This window comes from Homo sapiens, chromosome 3 (genome assembly GCF_000001405.40).
Source record: "Homo sapiens chromosome 3, GRCh38.p14 Primary Assembly".
Classification (NCBI taxonomy): Eukaryota; Metazoa; Chordata; class Mammalia; order Primates; family Hominidae; genus Homo; species Homo sapiens.
The window spans coordinates 9,756,665-9,773,936 of NC_000003.12; the positions used below are offsets into that span (position 1 = coordinate 9,756,665).

The 17,272-nt window shown below is 51.2% G+C and overlaps 2 protein-coding genes across 32 annotated transcripts in view, besides 1 other annotated feature; one reads left to right on the top strand and one right to left on the bottom strand.

Annotated features, from left to right (window-relative positions):
- OGG1 (8-oxoguanine DNA glycosylase) overlaps positions 1-17,272 on the top strand; it is a 41,119-nt gene that overhangs the window by 6,713 nt on the left and 17,134 nt on the right. For 5 of the 27 annotated variants that reach the window (NR_148932.2, NR_148930.2, NR_148931.2 and 2 more), the window contains one exon: positions 103-743. The exons of 3 other annotated variants lie outside the window; for them this stretch is intronic. Coding sequence is in view for 21 of the 24 variants with exons in the window: in NM_016819.4 (NP_058212.1) it covers positions 103-179 (77 nt within the window). In the remaining 3 variants the exon portion in view is untranslated. Of the gene's footprint in view, positions 1-102; positions 744-2,522; positions 2,623-9,144; positions 9,987-17,272 lie in introns of those variants that run through there. 19 more of the 27 variants (NM_001434445.1, NM_001434448.1, XM_047448201.1 and 16 more) reach the window with 8 other exon arrangements.
- CAMK1 (calcium/calmodulin dependent protein kinase I) lies at positions 683-13,283 on the bottom strand. 5 transcript variants are annotated; one of them, NM_003656.5, is made up of 12 exons: positions 13,168-13,283; positions 11,003-11,117; positions 9,095-9,226; positions 6,475-6,549; positions 6,250-6,388; positions 4,967-5,093; positions 4,797-4,872; positions 3,992-4,104; positions 3,008-3,086; positions 2,824-2,911; positions 1,065-1,182; positions 683-957 (listed from the first exon to the last, which is right to left on the bottom strand). In NM_003656.5, exons 2-12 carry the CDS (start codon positions 11,083-11,085, stop codon positions 875-877), a joined length of 1,113 nt encoding a protein of 370 aa, NP_003647.1. In that variant the 5' UTR covers positions 11,086-11,117; positions 13,168-13,283; the 3' UTR covers positions 683-874. The 5 variants fall into 5 exon arrangements, with proteins under 5 accessions (NP_003647.1, XP_016862843.1, XP_005265573.1 ...); XM_017007354.2 differs by lacking the exon at positions 9,095-9,226; XM_005265516.3 differs by having other exon boundaries at positions 683-1,182.
- Positions 13,054-13,233: a silencer, noted in NCBI's record as "silent region_14040". NCBI's record gives its function as "represses an Ori minimal core promoter by ATAC-STARR-seq in GM12878 lymphoblastoid cells {active_cell/tissue: GM12878}" and the evidence as "EXISTENCE:reporter gene assay evidence [ECO:0000049][PMID:35858748]".

Below are 17,272 nucleotides of genomic sequence, written 5' to 3' on the forward strand. Positions count from 1 at the left end.
TAGAAACTTCTCTCTCTCTTAGTCACCTCTCCCTCAGACCCTACTTCTGTTGATGGGTCACAGAAGGGGTCAGATAACTTAGTCTCATCACTTCTGATTTAGGAAACTTTTTCCGGAGCCTGTGGGGACCTTATGCTGGCTGGGCCCAAGCGGTGAGTGTACCTAGGTGTCCTCCCTAGGTTTCCTCTCCTCCAGCCCAGACCCAGTGGACTCTTCCACCACCGCCCCAGGTGGCCCTAAAGGACTCTCCAGCCACCCCTGTCCCAACCCCAGTGGATTCTCATTGCCTTCGGCCCTGTTCCCCAAGGACTCTTCCACCTCCCAACACTGTCACTAGTCTCACCAGCCCTGACCCCAGTGTACCCTCCTCCCCACACAGACTCCACCCTCCTACAGGTGCTGTTCAGTGCCGACCTGCGCCAATCCCGCCATGCTCAGGAGCCACCAGCAAAGCGCAGAAAGGGTTCCAAAGGGCCGGAAGGCTAGATGGGGCACCCTGGACAAAGAAATTCCCCAAGCACCTTCCCCTCCATTCCCCACTTCTCTCTCCCCATCCCCACCCAGTCTCATGTTGGGGAGGGGCCTCCCTGTGACTACCTCAAAGGCCAGGCACCCCCAAATCAAGCAGTCAGTTTGCACAACAAGATGGGGTGGGGGATATTGAGGGAGACAGCGCTAAGGATGGTTTTATCTTCCCTTTATTACAAGAAGGAACAATAAAATAGAAACATTTGTATGGAAAATGCAGTGAGGAGTGGTAGGGAAGCAGGTGAGGAGGGGACAGGGCAGAGAAACTCCCGGTTCAGGGAGGGAAGGGGAGCAGGCTGCCCCCAAGCCCTCCCACGCAGAGGATCATGACCCGAGGTCCAGGGCCCTAGAGCTGGTGGGGCAGTGTGGGGGACAGTTCTGTGCCCGGCTCCACGCAGCAGTCTCGACAGCAACAGCCAGCTGCCGGCCCTGCATGGGAAGACAGAACAGAGGTGGCCGCAGGGGCAGGCCCTCCACTCCAGCCCGGGTGCACCTTTGTGGACCACCCATGCCCTTCTGCAGAGCCCGCTCCTCACCCCCAGCCACTGGTGTCAGCAGCTCCCCATGGCTCGCCGTCTGCCCCTGCCCCTCCTGGCTGGTGCCCAGCTGCAGTTTCCTCATGTGCCGCACCACAGCCGTGGCATTGAAGGCTTGCTGGCATTGAAGGCATTGAAGGGAGAGGGGAGAAAGGACTTTTGAGAGAGTCAAGTCATGGGGCAGGGGCGCAGTGGGATTCTTGCAATTGTTCTGTTATTTTCATTCAGGAGTTATTTTATTAATTCCCCTAAAGCCCCCCAAAAACCTCTACAAGGCTTTATTATATATTTACACACACACACGCACATATGTTAGATGTATGTGTATCTATATATATAAATAGAAACATAACTATAATTCATATTAATATGTAATAGCAAACACTATAGCACTGTATGTCAGGCACTGTTCTAAGCACTTTACGTAGTAATTCATTTAATCTTCATGAAAGTCTTTGAGGTAGGTACTATTATCATTTTCAAAGGAGGAAACTGAGGCACAGAAAGCTGAAGTAACTTGCTCAGGTGTGTCTCTATTCAATATCTCCACCTAGGTGTCCCACACACCCCTCAAATTCACCATGTCTAAAACTAAAACCATCCCCCCAAAACATGTTTCTGTCCCTGTGATAACCATCTCAGTCATGGTACCACCACCATCCATTCTGTTCCCAGCCACAGTCTTGGGCCAGCCCTTGACATCTCTTTCCCCCAACATCCATTGCATCGTCATGTCTTGTCAGTTTCACCTCCTAAATGACTCCTGGATCAACCACTGTTCTCTGCCCCCTGTTGCTGCTACTGTGGTTCCAAACCCTTACCATCTCCTGCCTGTATCTCTGCCACAGCCTCCTAATGCGTCACCCAGTCTTTACTCCATGCCATTCTCTGCATCCTGAGAGCTCTTTCTTTTTTTTTTGAGGTGGAGTCTCACTTTGTTGCCCAGGCTGGAGTGCAGTGGCGCGATCTCAGCTCACTGCAACCCCCATCTCCGAGGTTCAAGTAATTCTCCTGCCTCAGCTTCCCAAGTAGCTGGGATTACAGGCACGCACCACCATGTGTGGCTAATTCTTTTATTTTTAGTAGAGACAGGGTTTTGCCATGTTGGCCAGGATGGTCTTGAACTCCTGACCTCAGGTGATCCAACCACCTCGGCCTCCCAAAGTGCTGGGATTACAGGCGTGAGCCACCATGCCTGGCCCTGAGAGCCCTTTCTATGCAGCAAATACTTGCCTAAGATTCTTCTGGGGCTCCTCAGTGCCCTCAGGATCAAGTTGGTGCTCCTCTGTGGCATATGAGGCCCTAAGAGGCCTGGCCCCTTACCTGCTTCTCTAAATTGGGCTCCTGCCTCTCAGTCCCCTCAGCCCCTCCAGTCTGGCCAGGCTTAGCACTTGCACTTCCCGGAATGGCTATAGACATTATTCCGCTATGCCTCACTAATTCCTACTTAACTGACAGCTCTGTCAGGTCATCACCACTTTTATGACCTTTCTCGGACCCCATAGGCTGGATCAGATGCCTCCTGAAGAATTACAGACTTCTTCCTCTAGACTTGGAGGTGAGGGACCCTCTCTGGAATAGAGAAGGTGTTGGGAGTGTTTGTTGAATGAAAGAGTGAATGAATGAAGTCCTTCAGTAAGGATCCCTAAGCAGTTACTGTGTGCCCAGTGTGATGCCAGGTGCTGTGCAAGCTGAGCCTGGGTAGGGATGGGGAGGAGTCCTGGGGAGGCTGGGACCAGAACTAGGGATATGGACTCACCTTCCACTTGCTCTTGGCAAAGTTCTTCTTGATCTGCTCACTCACCGACTGGTGGATATTCTTATCTAGAGCTGTATCTCCTGCAATCCTAGGATGGGGTTATGTGGTGGGTTGCCTATGAGGGCAGAAGCAGACCTGAGGGCCCCAAATCCCGCCCCAGCTCACAGGTTGTGTGAATTCTCACCATGGGTGCTGCAAGGCCTGCTCACAGGTGAATCTTTTCTCTGGGTCCTTCTCCATCAAGTGCCGGATGAAATCTTTGGCTAAACCCCCAAGACAAAAGCAAAGATAATGACAGCATGGTACTGCCTGTGTACTCCCCAAGAGCATACCCACTCCCTCAGGTCTGGCCTGGCATCAAGACAAAGAGGCCAAATCAGTCCATGCCCCACCCCACCCAACCTATGCTCTTCTTCAGGCCCTCCCACCCCGTGCCTTCCAGCTCTTTCCTTTCTCTCTTAAGAAAAACATATGGCCGGGCACAGTGGCTCATGTCTGTAATCCCAGCACTTTGGGAGGCCAATGCAGGTGGATCACGAGGTCAGGAGTTCAAGACCAGCCTGGCCAAGATGGTGAAACCTTGTTTCTACTAAAAATACAAAAAAAATTAGCCGGGCATGGTGGTGGGCGCCTGTAATCCCAGCTACTTGGGAGGCTGAGGCAGAGAATTGCTCGAACCCGGGAGACAGAGGTTGCAGTGAGCCGAGATTGTGCCACTGCACTCCAGCCTGGGCAACAGAGCGAGACTGCGTCTCAAAAAAGAAAGAAAAAAAAAAAAAAGTTGTTCTTGACTAATCTCAGTGCATTCACACTGATGATAAACGATAGTAGCTTCACAGGTTTGCTTCTTAATAGGGGGCACAAAAGGAGGATGAAAATGTTTATGGTGGTGTTTTAGACATTAGGGTGTCAATAGGGGAGAGGTATTTTCAAATAGACTATGTTTGAAGATTGAACAAATGAATGCCTAGTTTCTCACTCTGGGAGCCAAGCAGAAGGAAGTACCCAAGCAGAAGGAAGAAGGGGTAGGGTGTCTGGTCTCGAAGACAGCTCTTTGTGTGGTGCTGGAAAATCCGACAGAAGGAAGGCAGGAGGGAGACCGCCCCCAAAGCAGGTGAGGGAGGAACCAGAGGCAGGGCCCAGGGGAAAAAAGCAAAGCCCCAAATACCAGAGTCAGAGATGTCGTCCCAGTAAGGAGAGTCAAACTCGTACTCGGCCTTCAAAATCTGTTCAAAGAGTTTGGCATCATTCTCGTCATAGAAGGGAGGGTAACCGCAGAGCCTGGGCAGGGAGAAACTCATCCTCATTTCCACTTTCGGGTGCCGTTGGCTCCGGGGTGGAGCACTGGGGCAGTCTCAGGGGTCAGGCAGGAGCCATGGAAGGAGTTCCCCCTTTATAAACTCTACCAGCCCTGCCTGCTCACTCCTGTTCTAGCTACATTATCCTTTCTGTTCCTTGTATGTGCCGCCATCTTGCCCTCCTCAGGGCCTTTGCACTTGCCATTGCTTCTGCCTATGCCACTCTTTCCCCACACCTCCAATGTCTGGCTCCCTCACCACTCGGTCATCACCTCCACAGCGAGCCCTTCCCTGACCTCCCTACTGAAATGGCATCACCCCGTCTCCCTATTCCTGCTTGGTTTTTCTCCACAGTATTTATTTTTATCACCTGACGTCAGTTTGTAGATTTATTTACTTGTTGATTGTCTGTCTTCCCTACTAGAAAGAAAGTCAGCTCCCTGAGGGCAGGCACTTTGTCTGGTTTGTGCTGTGCTAAATTTACCCCAGTGCTTGCTTGGCACAGTGCTTGAAACATAGTATCTATTGAATGAAGTAATACTGGTAATTGATTGGTGGAAGGAAGGGAGGGAGGGAAGGAAGGGAGGGCAGAGGGAGAGCAGAGGAAGGAAGAGAGGAAAGTAGGCGAGAGGACAACTCTGGAGCCACAGCCTACCATGGCCAAGCCCCACTTACAAGATGTAGGCGATGACACCTATGGACCAGCAATCCACAGCCTTGCTGTAGGGCTTCTGGGCCAGGACTTCAGGGGCTGTGGAGGGAAGAGGACGTGGTGGTGACAAATCTCTGCCCTTCAACTCCTGGTTCCCCCCACCATCACAGCCCCAGCCCAGGGCCCTCCGCACCCACGTATCCCGGAGTTCCACAGGCGGTGGAGAGCACACTGCCCGGGTCCTCCATCTTGGAGAGGCCAAAGTCGGAGATCATGATTTTGGAGTCTTCATCCAGGCTGTAGTACAGCAGATTCTCTGGCTTGAAGGGCAGGAGGGAAGAGAAGGGGCAATCAGAGATGGTTAGAGGCTGGTAGAACCTTCTGCCGCTCCAAGCACCTTCTGAGAAATAATGGATCCCCAAAAGCCACTGTGGCTTCATGGCTGTCATAAGAAAATCAAGGAAGCTCTCAAGAAGGCCAAAAATTCCAGGAAGGACAAGGCTCAAGAGGGTGTGGGGGGGAACTGTCTCTAAACCTCAGGTGTGCACTGTAAAGCCCTAAAGGAATGTTTGAATGCCTATTTTATGCCAGACCCTGGATTAGTGCTTGATTTAATGCCATCCTCACTGCTTCCCTGCTAGGCCAGTCTGTATAATCTCACCTAACAGATGAGGAAACTGATGCCTTTGGAGGCAAAGTGACTCACCCAAGAACCCACAGTTAGGCAGTAGCAGAGCCAGAATTCAAAACCAGGCATGTCACACCCCAAGTGCCCTTCTCCTAGAACGGATTGAGATGTACTGCTAAATGTGAGCCCCGTCGCTATTTCCGAGGAGTAGGATTTCGGGGATTTCTGGCTTTTTTCTTTATGTTTTGCTGTCCCATCCAAGTTTTCTACAGAAGGGGAATAGGATTTTTTGTTTTTATTTTATTTTTTTTGACATGGAGTCTCGCTCTGTCGTCCAGGCTCGCTCTGTCGCCCAGGCTGGCGTGCAATGGCACAATCTCAGCTTGCTGCAACCTCTGCCTCCCGGGTCCAAGTGATTCGCCTGCCTCAGCCTCCCTAGTAGCTGGGATTACAGGCATCTGCCACCACGCCGGGCTAATTTTTGTATTTTTGGTAGAGACAGGGTTTTGCCAAGCTGGTCTCGAACTGACCTCAGGTGATCCACCCGTCTCTGCCTCCTAAAGTGCTGGGATTACAGGCGTGAGCCATCCTGTCTGGCCAGATTTTTTTTTTTTTAATCAGAAAAAGACAAAATGTTGTTTGGATAAAATGCCACACAATTCACTCGTGTTCCTTTGAGTATCTGGACTAGAATGGGAGGAGGCAGTTTAAAGGTTACAAGATCCACTTTGTAGATGGAAATCCAAGGCTCAGTGAGGGGGTGAAAGTTGCCCAAGGTCAGACAGTTTGGGGTTTGCAAAGGCCCCACCCCTGGGTACCCTAGCTCACCACACCCCCTTGAGCCCCACCTTGAGATCCCGGTGTACAATGCCCAGGTCATGCAGGTATTTCACAGCATCCAGCACCTGGAAGATGAGGCGGCTGGCGTCCCGCTCCGTGTAGAAGCCTTTTTCCACAATACGGTCAAAGAGCTCCCCACCCGACACCCTGCAGCAGGGGATAGGGCAGTCTGGCAAAGAGGGTTGGGACAGCTGGGAGAGGTGTGGGGGCAGGGCAGAGGTTGGGCCACTCACAGCTGCATGATGAGGTAGAGGTGGCCCCCACTCTCATAGATGTCATCCAGGGCTACAATGTTGGGGTGCTTGATCCTGAAAGGAGAAATGAGGTGGTTTAGCCAGGCATGGCGGTGTGCACCTGTAGTCCAAGCTACTTGGGAACTTGGGAGGCTGAGGCAGGAGGATCACTTGGCCCCAGCAGTTCAAAGCTGCAGTCTGTTATGATTGCACCTGTGACTAGCCACTGCACTCCAGCCTGGGCAACAGAGTAAGACCCTGTCTCAAAAAAAAAAAAAAAAAAACAGCGGTTTAGAGCTCAGGACAGCTCAGCCACCCCCAACCCCCGACCACTGCCTACATACCTGGGTAGGACAAACCAAGGATCTCGTCCCCAAAGGGAAAAGCTAGCTTACCATGGTTTATTACCATTTTTTGGAAGGTGAGAGAGCAGAGGGATAAACACTGGGCTCTGGCATACACAGACCTGGGTCCAAATCCTGCCCGTCACATGCTATTTGGGTGCAGATCTTTTCACCAGTGAGCCACTGCACCCAGCCTGATACATACCTCTTAAGAGTTTTCTGGCTAGGCACAGAGACTCACACCTGTAATCCCAGCACTTTGGGAGGCCAAGGCAGGCGGATCACTTGAGGTCAGGAGTTCGAGACCAGCCTGGCCAACATGGCGAAAACCCATCTCTACTAAAAATACAAAAATTAGCCAGGCATGGTGGCACATGCCTGTAATCCCAGCTATCTGTGAGGCTGAGGCAGGAGAATTGCTTAAACCTGGGAAACGGAGGTTGCAGTGAGTCGAGATCATGCCATTACACTCCAGCCTGGGCAACAAGAGCAAAACTCCATCTCAAAAAAAATATATATATATAGTTTTCTGTGTTTACATGTTTGTCAGCCTCCCCCACCAGACATAAGCTCCCCGAATCCAGAGGCTTTGTCTTGCTTGCCACTGTTCCTCCAGCACCTGGTACAGGGTAGGTGCTAGATTTAATGTAACCTCTCTGAACCTCAGTTTCTTCATCTATAAAATGAAGCCAATGGTAGTACTTCCCTCAAAGAGTTGGAGTGAGGATCATGTGAGATAATGCAGGTAAGGTGCTTGGCACAGTGCCTGGCACACGGTAAATACTCATAAGTGAAACAATAATGGTAATTGATTTTTTTTTTCTTTTTTTGAGACGGAGTTTTACTCTTGTTGCTCAGGCTGGAGTGTTGCCCAGGCTGGAGTGCAATGGCATGATCTTGGCTCATCACAATTTCTGCCTCCTGGGTTCAAGTGATTCTTCTTTCTCAGCCTCTCAAGTAGCTGGGATTACAGGCATGCGCCACCATGTCCAGCTAATTTTGTATTTTTAGTAGAGACGGAGTTTCTCCATGTTGGTCAGGCTGGTTTGGAACTCCCCACCTCAGGTGATCTGCCCACTTCAGCCTCTCAAAGTGCTGGGATTACAGGCGTGAGCCACTGCGCCTGGCGTTTTTGTTTTTTTTTTGTTTTTTTTTTTTTTTTTGAGATGGAGTTTTGCTCTTGTTGCCTAGGCTGGAGTGTAATGCACGGTGTGATCTCGGCTCACCGCAACCTCCACCTCTCGGGTTTAAGCAATTCTCCTGCCTCAGCCTCCCAAGTAGCTGGGATTACAGGCATGTGCCACCACGCCTGGCTAATTTTGTATTTTTAGTAGAGACAGGGTTTCTCCGTGTTGGTCAGGCGATAATTGATCTTGATGATGAGGAAGGCTCAGCTCTGCCACAAACTTGCCATGTGACTGTATACAAATCCCTGTCCTCTCTGGGTCTTATTAGAAATGCTCTGCCAGGAGTTGGGTGTGGTGGCTCATGCCTAGCACTTTGGGAGGCCGAGGCGGGTGGATCACCTGAGGTCAGGAGTTCGAGACCAGCCTGGCCAACATGGCGAAACCCCATCTCTACTAAAAATACAAAAATTAGCCGGGCGTGGTGGCAGGTGCCTGTAATCCCAGCTACTAGGGAGGCTGAAGCAAGAGAATTGCTTGAACCCAAGAGGCAGAGGTTGCAGTGAGCCAAGATTGCGTCACTGCACTCCAGCCGGGGCAACAGAGTGAGACTCCATCTCAAAAAAAAAAAAAAAATTATCTGCCCAGGGTGGTTGGAAGCTCAGGGGAGAGATTGGAAGTGATTCTCTGTAAGTTTTCCAGTGAGGACAGGAGGTTTCATATCAGCATGAGCAATTCATAGACCAGTTGGTTGTGGATTTAGTCTGGGGGTCAGCAGACAGTCATTTTTAAACTTGCTGAGTGGTTTTAATATGTGAGGGGAACTTGAGGTAGGTCCAGAGACAACACCAACTGAGATATGTGGGTCCAAGCCATGTTCAGGATGGATCTTTACACCTGATTGAACAGTTAAACCCCTGTGACTAAGCACTGGCACCTCCATCACATCTGTCATGTTAGGCCAGGCACTTGAAATAAAGGACTTCTGATGTTCCCCACAACCCTGCCAAGTGGAAATTGTGATCCCCATTTTATAAAGGGGCAATTTAAGGCTTAGAGAGTTTAAATGATTTGTCCAAAGCAGGAAAGGAGGAGGATGGGAGGGCCAAGGCAGGGTCAGCTTGGGGCAGGGAAAGGCTGTGGCCCACGCACTTGTGCAGGACAGCAATCTCATTCTCCATGCTGCCTTCCTTGCCCTCCAGGGCCTCCTTGGCAATGCATTTGATGGCCACCAGCTTCTGCGTCCTCTTATCTTCTGCCAGGATCACCTCCGAGAAGGCCCCCCTATCGGGAGAGGGGATTCACAAGGTGAAGAACTGGAACCCCAGCTTCCCTCCAGCCTCTCCTCCATTCCCTATGGGTTCTGTGACCACTGCTGGACCAAGGACGTGGATGACCCTCCCCTAGTCACTCATCCATCCCCTGGCTCCAGAGATGGTCACATGACCCAGGCCTGGCCAGTCAAAGTAGTCTCTCCCCTGGCCACAGTAATTGGTCATGTGATGCAAGCCAGCTTACTAGCACTTTGAGAATGAGTCTCCTGTTGAGCTGGTAGGATGTAAGCCTGGAGCTAATGGCGATCATCTTTGCCACCACCTGGGGAGAGCCTGCTTGGGAATGAAATTAACACAAAGGAAGTCCAACCTGAGAAATGGCCAAATATATTTCCTGATAACATTATGTGGCCCTCTGGATCCAGCCATGCCTGAGGTCTACCCCTGGGCTTTTGGATTATGTGTACAGTTGGTTCATCCCTTTTTCTGCTAATTCGAGTCATGGCTAATTTAACACCCTTTAGAACCTTAAAGAACCATCAGCATCACCCGGGAACTTTTTTAGAAATGCAAAATCTCTACTGCTTTGGATCCTGGGTCAAAAAAAAGAAAAAAAAAAGAAATGCAAAACTTTAGGCCCTGCCCCAGATTTACTAAATCAATCTGCAGTTTAACAAAATCCTCAGGTGATTTGTATGCTCATTGAACTTTAAGAAGCAGTGTTTTAGAACAGGTTCTTAAAAAGGAACAAATAAACTCATTTAACTAAAGTTAACTGATTAAAGAGGATTTGCTAGGGTATTCTTTCCACATCTGTTTGCTTTCTCTGGGAGAATAAGAAGTCATAAGTCAAAGAAAAGCATCTCTCGTGGTGAAATTTCAATCCTCAGGGATAATTAGTTACTGTAGTAACCTCATCACTGGTTTCCAGTCTTGTCCCTCTCCAATTTACCCTCCAAGCTGTGGCCAGAGTGACTATCCTGAATTGCACACCTGCCAAAAAGTCTTAAGTGTCTCCCGGTGGCCTATGGGACAATATCCAGCCTCCCTGGCCTGGCTTCCAAAACCCTACACAAACTGTCCCACTTTCATCTCCAGCCCCTTTTTCCACTCTCCCCCCAGCCTGTGATTTTAAGCTCCATCACACTCTACCTCTCTCCACATAGAACCATGCCTCTAAGCCTTTGTTTATGCTATTCCTTCTGCCTGGAATGTCCTTCTTCCTCTCTGACAAGTGCACACCTACCCATCCTTCAGTCCCCAGCTCTAATGCCCCATTCTCCAGGAAGTTTTCCCCCAGGCAGAAGGCACAGCTCTCTCTGGGCTCCACAAAGCCCTCAATCCCAACCTTAATTGGAGCACAGCACACACCCTGTTGTCATTTTCTGTAGGTCTGTCTCTTGCACATGTCTGGGATCAACTTGAAGGGCAGAGACCAGGTTTGAGTTATTTCTGCATTCCCAGCACCAAGAACAGAGCCATCTCCAGCCTCAGTTCCCAAACCTAGGCTAGAACACTTAGCTCTTGGCAGCAAGTTAAATGGACTGACTGGCACCTTCATTCTCTCGACTTCTTTCTCTTCAAGAACCCAGGGCTATTGGGAGAGCAGCCCGTGTCCCACCCACTGTCATCCAGAAGTGAAAAGCTGGGGACAGTTTAGGCCCTAGATAGTGCTGCCACAGGGCCTGGGCTGTGGGAAACAGGAAGCATTAATTGACCAGAGGAAGCCCCACCCTGGACTCAGCCTCCCTCAGCCATCCAGCACCCAATCCTGCCCTGGACTCACGTGCCCAGAACATCTCGGAAGTCGTAGATGTCTCTAATGTCCTCCGCCTGCTTCCACCTGGGGCCTTCCACTGCCCCCAGCATGGCCCACTGCCCCCCGACCACAGCCAGGGCTCCTGTAAGGAGAATGGAAGGAGGAGACTCAGCAGAGCCCAGCCCTCTGTCTGGGAATTTACTGCAGGCCCCATTCAGTCATTCAACCTGCATTTATTCATCCTTGATTCATCCATTTGACAAAATCATTCAACAAACATTCATTTGTTTATTCAACATTCAGCAAATTCTCATGCCTAGAGAAAAACCTTTCACAGTGGCAGCAAAATTCTTTATTTAACAAAGTCATGCATTCATTCATTCATTTATTCTAGTTCTCTTCCCAGTTTTCCCCCTATCCAAATCCAAGCACCTAGGGAAACCCTGACTTCTGGCAGTACAACAGATAAACCCCCAGAGCAGCTGGTAGAAGCCTGGAGGATCCCCCTGTCCCCAGAACCAGTGATGTCCCCGCCCCACCCTGGGGATTGCTGGGGTGTCTCCTTTCCCTCCTCCTTCCCCCGACTCCCCGGCCTCTCCGAAATCAGGTTTCCAGCAGCCTGGGCTTCCAGCAACATCTCAGCCACATTTTTAAATAGCTCTTTCTGCACTGTTACCACAGCAACAACAGCCACAGCTGGAGCTCCCCAGACCTCTCCCTCCTGACTCCCCATCTGGGTCCCGGGAGCATGAGAAATGGTCCTGCTCACTCTGTCCCTTCCTGGCCCCATCTAACCCTATCCAGCCTGGCCCTTCCTCTGCTGAGGTCTGTCTCATCCAGCAGGAGAGGGTGGGAGTTCTCTCCCATTTATCAGATGAAGAATGGGGAGACTGAGGTTGGAGTTAGGTAGAGGCTGGCTCCAGAGGCCCTAATGACACCTGGCCTGGGGCCCCCAGCTAAGCTTGCTGAGGGCAAAGGCCATCGAATGGCCTTGGCTGGTACTTCCAATATGAAGCCAGAATGGGCCCCATTCAGAGAACACAGCCTCCCAACCCATCCACAGATGAGGCCAAAACAGAGCCCAGCATGCTTTGTGACCTCAGGGAGAGCACTTTCCTTCTCTCTTTTTCTCTAAGGGAGAATGAGGAGAAGGTGCCCTGACTAGGGCCTCTGGTGTGAGATTCCACTCCTGGAACAGGACCTTTTTCCCAGGGGACCCTGCCCACCCATCCAGGGGCAGAATCTTCTAGGAAAGGAGACTCGAGTGTAAGCTCTAGAGGCAGAGTCTGAAACCCACATGGAGGCCTACCAAATACAACCCTCACAGATCCACACACATCCCTGTAGCAGACATGCCACACCAAGCCCCCTCCACAGCCCTGAACTCAAACACCTGCCTCCCAGATCCAGTACGCCTTGTATCCACATCCCGTGACACCTGATCATACATGTACTCCCAGACATCAGCACACATGTCCACACCACACAGTGCCCCAGACAGCCCTGCACCCGAACACCTGCCTGTCCATCCAAACATCCCTCACCCAGCTCCCTCTTACACCCCAAAACACACATCCACCCGCACCCACACAAGATGACACCCAGACACACACACACACACCCTCATATACCAGACGTACCCTACACCCTCCAGCTCCTCTACCCCATCCCCTGGAAGCTCCTGTATTCCAAACCAAACCCCAAGTCCTTACACACCTAACTCCAAACATCCTCAGTACACAATTGTACACCCCCTCCTAACTCTGACTTAAGACCCTGAGAGCCAAATACCAGCACACAAAACACGTGGACACCCCTCTGGAACAAAAAACACACAGATTCCCAGATCCTCCACCCATGTCTGACCCACACGCCTGTCCTAAGACAGTACACTCCGCAAGCCCCCCCACCCCATGGATACCTCCAAATGCCCACGCCCTTCCAGTCAGGCCCAGCTGAAGGCGCTCACACAGGCCCCCTTCTCTATTACCCACTCAGTGTCCCATAGGCCCGCCTGGCACCTGCTGGGCCTGGGACAGAGGTGGAGAAAGGCCCAGCCCTGCCCCTCAGGGTCCAGCCCGCCCGGGAGAGTGCCCAGTGGCCACTCCTTGGGAAAGGATACCCAGAGGCTAGGGGCTCCCACCGCCCCCACGCAGCGCCCAGGGGTGCAGGGATGGGGGGCCCGGCTGTACCTGCGGCTGCCCCGCCGCGGGGCTGGCTGGGAGGCCCGCGGTGGTTGGCGCCGAGCTGTGGCCGCGGTCCTCACCGCTGCGTGCCTGGGCCACCCGCCCGCGCTCTTGCTGGAGCTGGGGCTCGGCTCGGCTCGGCGGCTCTCTCCGCCCGCCTGCGGCTCTGATGTCAGTGGAGGTGGAGCCTGCGGCGGAGGGACCCGGGATTGGGAGGCGAGGCACCGCTCCAAGGCTGGGGAAGGGGCACGGGTGGAGGCCATCTCCCTGCTTCTGGTCAGAGATCTCCTGCTGGACGCTTCCCGCCCTTGGTCTTAAGCGGGGTCCATTTCACAGAGGGGACAACTGAGGCCCGGAGAGATGATTTTCAAATCAGCGGGTGGTCGGAAGCAAAGCAGGATTCGAACCCCGTCTGTCTGAAGCTAGAGGCCGGCCAAACTCACCCTGTGGCCTGGTGGATTTTCTTTCAGACCAGTTCTGCGACCTCCCTTAGGGCTCTGTCTCCCTTCTCCGTGCCCTGAAGGGAAACAGGCCCTGGAACTGCACGGGAGTCTGGTGGGGGATGGGGGAGTGAGGGAGTGGGGAAGGACCGGGCAAGACTAGGCAATGAAGAGAGTGGAGGTGGTCGCAGGGTGTGGGCCCCACTTGACAGGTGGGAAGACTGAGGCCCCGGTTCCTCTGCAAGATGGAGCTGAGGCTTCAGCCCCAGACACTTGCTCCTCAGAGCGGGTGGTGGTGCCTAGAGGTATTGGGGGCAGAGGGAATTGGGGAGGAGGAAGTTAAATCGGGATCCTGAAGGAAACAGGCCAAAAAGGACCGAGGTGTCACGTGACTGGCGGGGCTCCAGAGTTTGATGGCTGGGGTCCAGGTTAGGGGAGAGAGCCTGCAACTAGGACGGCAGGCAAGAGGCCAAAGGTCGGTTTGCTCAAGGCCTTCCTTGGGAAGAAATTTGGTGCCGAGTGGAAAGAGGGGGCGGGGGGAGCAACTCGCAGGAATTGGGGATGGGGCTGAACTGGGGGCAGCCGGAGGAGGCACGTTGCTTGGGACCCCACTCCACCTCCAAGGGCCTCCAAGTGCCACTCCCTACTCCTGAATTCTTGCATGTTCCAGCTGGTGATGGGGAGAGAACAGTGCTTATGCCCAGCTCATTTCCTTTTTCTCTTTCTTTCTTTCTTTTTTCTTTCTTTCTCTTCTTCTTTTTTTCTTTTTCTTTTTTTTTTAAGACAGGGTCTTGCTCTGTCACCCAGGCTGGAGTGCAATGGCATGATCACGGCCCACTGCAGCCTCAAACTCCTGGGCTCAAGTCATCTTCCTACCTCAGCCTCCCATGTAGATGGGACTACAGGTGCGTGCCACCACACCTGGCTTTTTTATTTTTTGTAGAGATGGGGATCTCACTATATTGCCCAGGCTGGTCTCAAACTCCTGGGCTCAAGCAATCCTCCCCAATCAGCTTCCCAAGGTTCTGGAATTACAGGCATGAGCCACTGCACCTGGCCAATTTATTATGCCCATCTTACAGATGAGAGAGGAAGATAGCTGAGGTTCCTGGAAAGGCTTTGGAGTCTAACTGATCCTGGTCATGCTTTACCTCTCCGAACCTCAGTTTCTTACTCGGGAACATGGGAATATTGAAGATTGACTCAGAGTTCTGAGAATTCTATGATATAATGATATGAAGTGCCTAGAACACTATTCAAAACATGAGAGCTAGACTCAGTGTAAACTGAGACTCAGAGAGAGGACTTGATTTGGCCAGGGATGAGGGGTTAAGGGATCCATCTTCCAAATCTCAGTATCTCAGACTCCTTAGTTCATGGAAAAATACATTTCCTGCTCAGGGCTGAGCCCCCACTCTCCCCTATACCCACCAAGCACACCCACTGAGCTAGGGGTTCTTTTACCACAAATTCCTGTTCATCTTGATGACAACACCCCCTGGGTGATAAGATGACCTCTGTCCTTTCGAGGACTTGTACAACTTCTTTTTTTTTTTTTTTTTTTTTTTTTTGAGACAGTCTCCCTCTGTTGCCCAGGCTGGAGTGCAATGGTGCCATCTCGCCTCACTGCAACCTCCGCCTCCTGGGTTCAAGCAATTCTCCTGCCTCAGCCTCCCAAGTATCTGGGACTACAGGCGTGAACCAACACGCCCAACTAATTTTTGTATTTTTAGTAGAGATGGGGGTTTCACCATGTTGGTCAGGCTGGTCTCGAACTCCTGACCTCAGGTGATCCACCTGCCTCAGCCTCCCAAAGTGCTGGAATTACAGGCATGAGCTACCGCGCCCAGCTGACTTGTACAGCTTCTATGGTGTGCTTTACATTTTTCCTGCTTTTGAGCATTTCTGAGAGGCCTCGTGTTTTCTTTTCTTTAACAAACACATTATCTTTACTTTCTTAGTATTTCTATTGAACAAGTGATACATGGTCATTGCAGGAAAATTCCATAATGTATTGAAAACACACACAGACTAACTGATGAGATTCTTTCGCTTCCCAAGTGACAGAATGCCAACCTAAACCAGCTTCATCCAAGAGGAATCTATAGTTCACAATAGCTGGCACAAGATTGCAGGAAAAACACCAGAGATTAGGGGCTTGGAGACTGGAACTGGAGATGTAGTACTCATAGGATTTGCTTTCTCTGTCTTCCCTCCTCTCTCCTTGTCTTGATTTTTCTTCACACGTTGGCCTCTTTTTCTCTCCAGAGTGAACTTCTAGTTGGCAGGAAACATGGAGTGAGGCAGCCCCAGCTTTCCAATTAAACACAGTGGAAGGAAAGCATCCTCCCAATTTCCTATCTCATTCTCAGGGAAGGACTCTGGCTCTGCTTGAGTGATAGAGTGACATGTTCACCCCTTGGCCTCCAAAACTGTTGCCAGGAGAATTAGGGTGCTATATTGAGCAAGTGTACTGTAATGGGCAGCCATAAGGAATGGAAGAGGTATCTTGTCCAAAGGAATTAGGGGTGCGAGGGAGGCAAGAATAACACAACACTCTCAGCCGGGCCCCCACCAACCAGAGACAACCAGTGTTCACATTTTTAGTACAATTCTTCCAGATTTTTTGGATGCGTATACATATACATCCTTCTGCAGCCCCCAGTCCCGATGAGCACATTTCAAAGTACTAATCAAAAAGTGAGTGAAGGGCCAGGCGTGGGGAGGCCAAGGTGGGCAGATCATCTGAGGTCAGGAGTTTAAGACCAGCCTGGCCAACGTGGTGAAACCCTGTCTCTACTAAAAATACAAAAATTAGCTGGGTGTGGTGGCATGCACCTGTATCCCCAGCCACTTGGGACGCTGAGGCAGGAGAATTGCTTGAACCCAGGAGATGGAAGTTGCAGTGAGCTGAGATTGCACCATTGTACTCCAGCCTGGGTGACACGGCAAGACTACATCTCAAAAAAAAAAAAAAAAAGTGGCTGGGTGCGGTGGCTAACGCCTATAATTCCAGCACCTTGGGAGGCTGAGGCGGGTGGATCATGAGGTCAGGAGATCGAGACCATCCTGGCTAACATGGTGAAACCCTGTTATCTTTTGTATTTCTACTAAAGATACAAAAAATTAGCCAGGCGTGGTGGCGGGCGCCTGTAGTCCCAGCTAATCAGGAGGCTGAGGCAGGAGAATGGCGTGGACCCGGGAGGCAGAGCTTGCAGTGAGCAGAGACCACGCGCCACTGCACTCCAGCCTGGGCGACAGAGCGAGACTCCGTCTCAAAAATAAATAAATGAATAATAATTTAAAAAAAGGTGAGTCAAGGAAAGTCAAATGTTCTCAGGGAAAAGGGGGATGATCTTTTCTTCTTTTTTTTTTTTTTGAATGGCTAAACAGTGCAGACATCTCCATCAATTCTTTTATTTATTTATTTATTTATTATTTTTTTGAGACAGGGCCTCACTCTGTCACCCAGGCTGTGGTGCAGCGGCGCCATCATGGCTCACTGCAGCCTTGACTTCCCAGGCTGGAGTGATCATCCCACCTCAGCCTCCGGAGTAGCTGGGGCTGCAGGTGTGTACCACCATACCTGGCTAATTTTTTTTAGTTTTTTATTTTTTGTAGATATCGGGTCTCTACTCCCTCTGTTGCCCAGACTTCTCTGGAACTCTGGA

Excerpts from the sequence above, each read along its gene's own strand:
- CAMK1 (XM_005265516.3), bottom strand. The coding sequence starts at position 11,085 with ATGCTGGGGGCAGTGGAAGGCCCCAGGTGGAAGCAGGCGGAGGACATT. Across the intron at positions 6,550-9,094 it reads GAGATTGCTGTCCTGCACAA|GATCAAGCACCCCAACATTG; the intron begins GTGCGTGGGCCA and ends TTCTCCTTTCAG. Across the intron at positions 5,094-6,249 it reads TTGTACACCGGGATCTCAAG|CCAGAGAATCTGCTGTACTA; the intron begins GTGGGGCTCAAG and ends CTGCCCTTCAAG.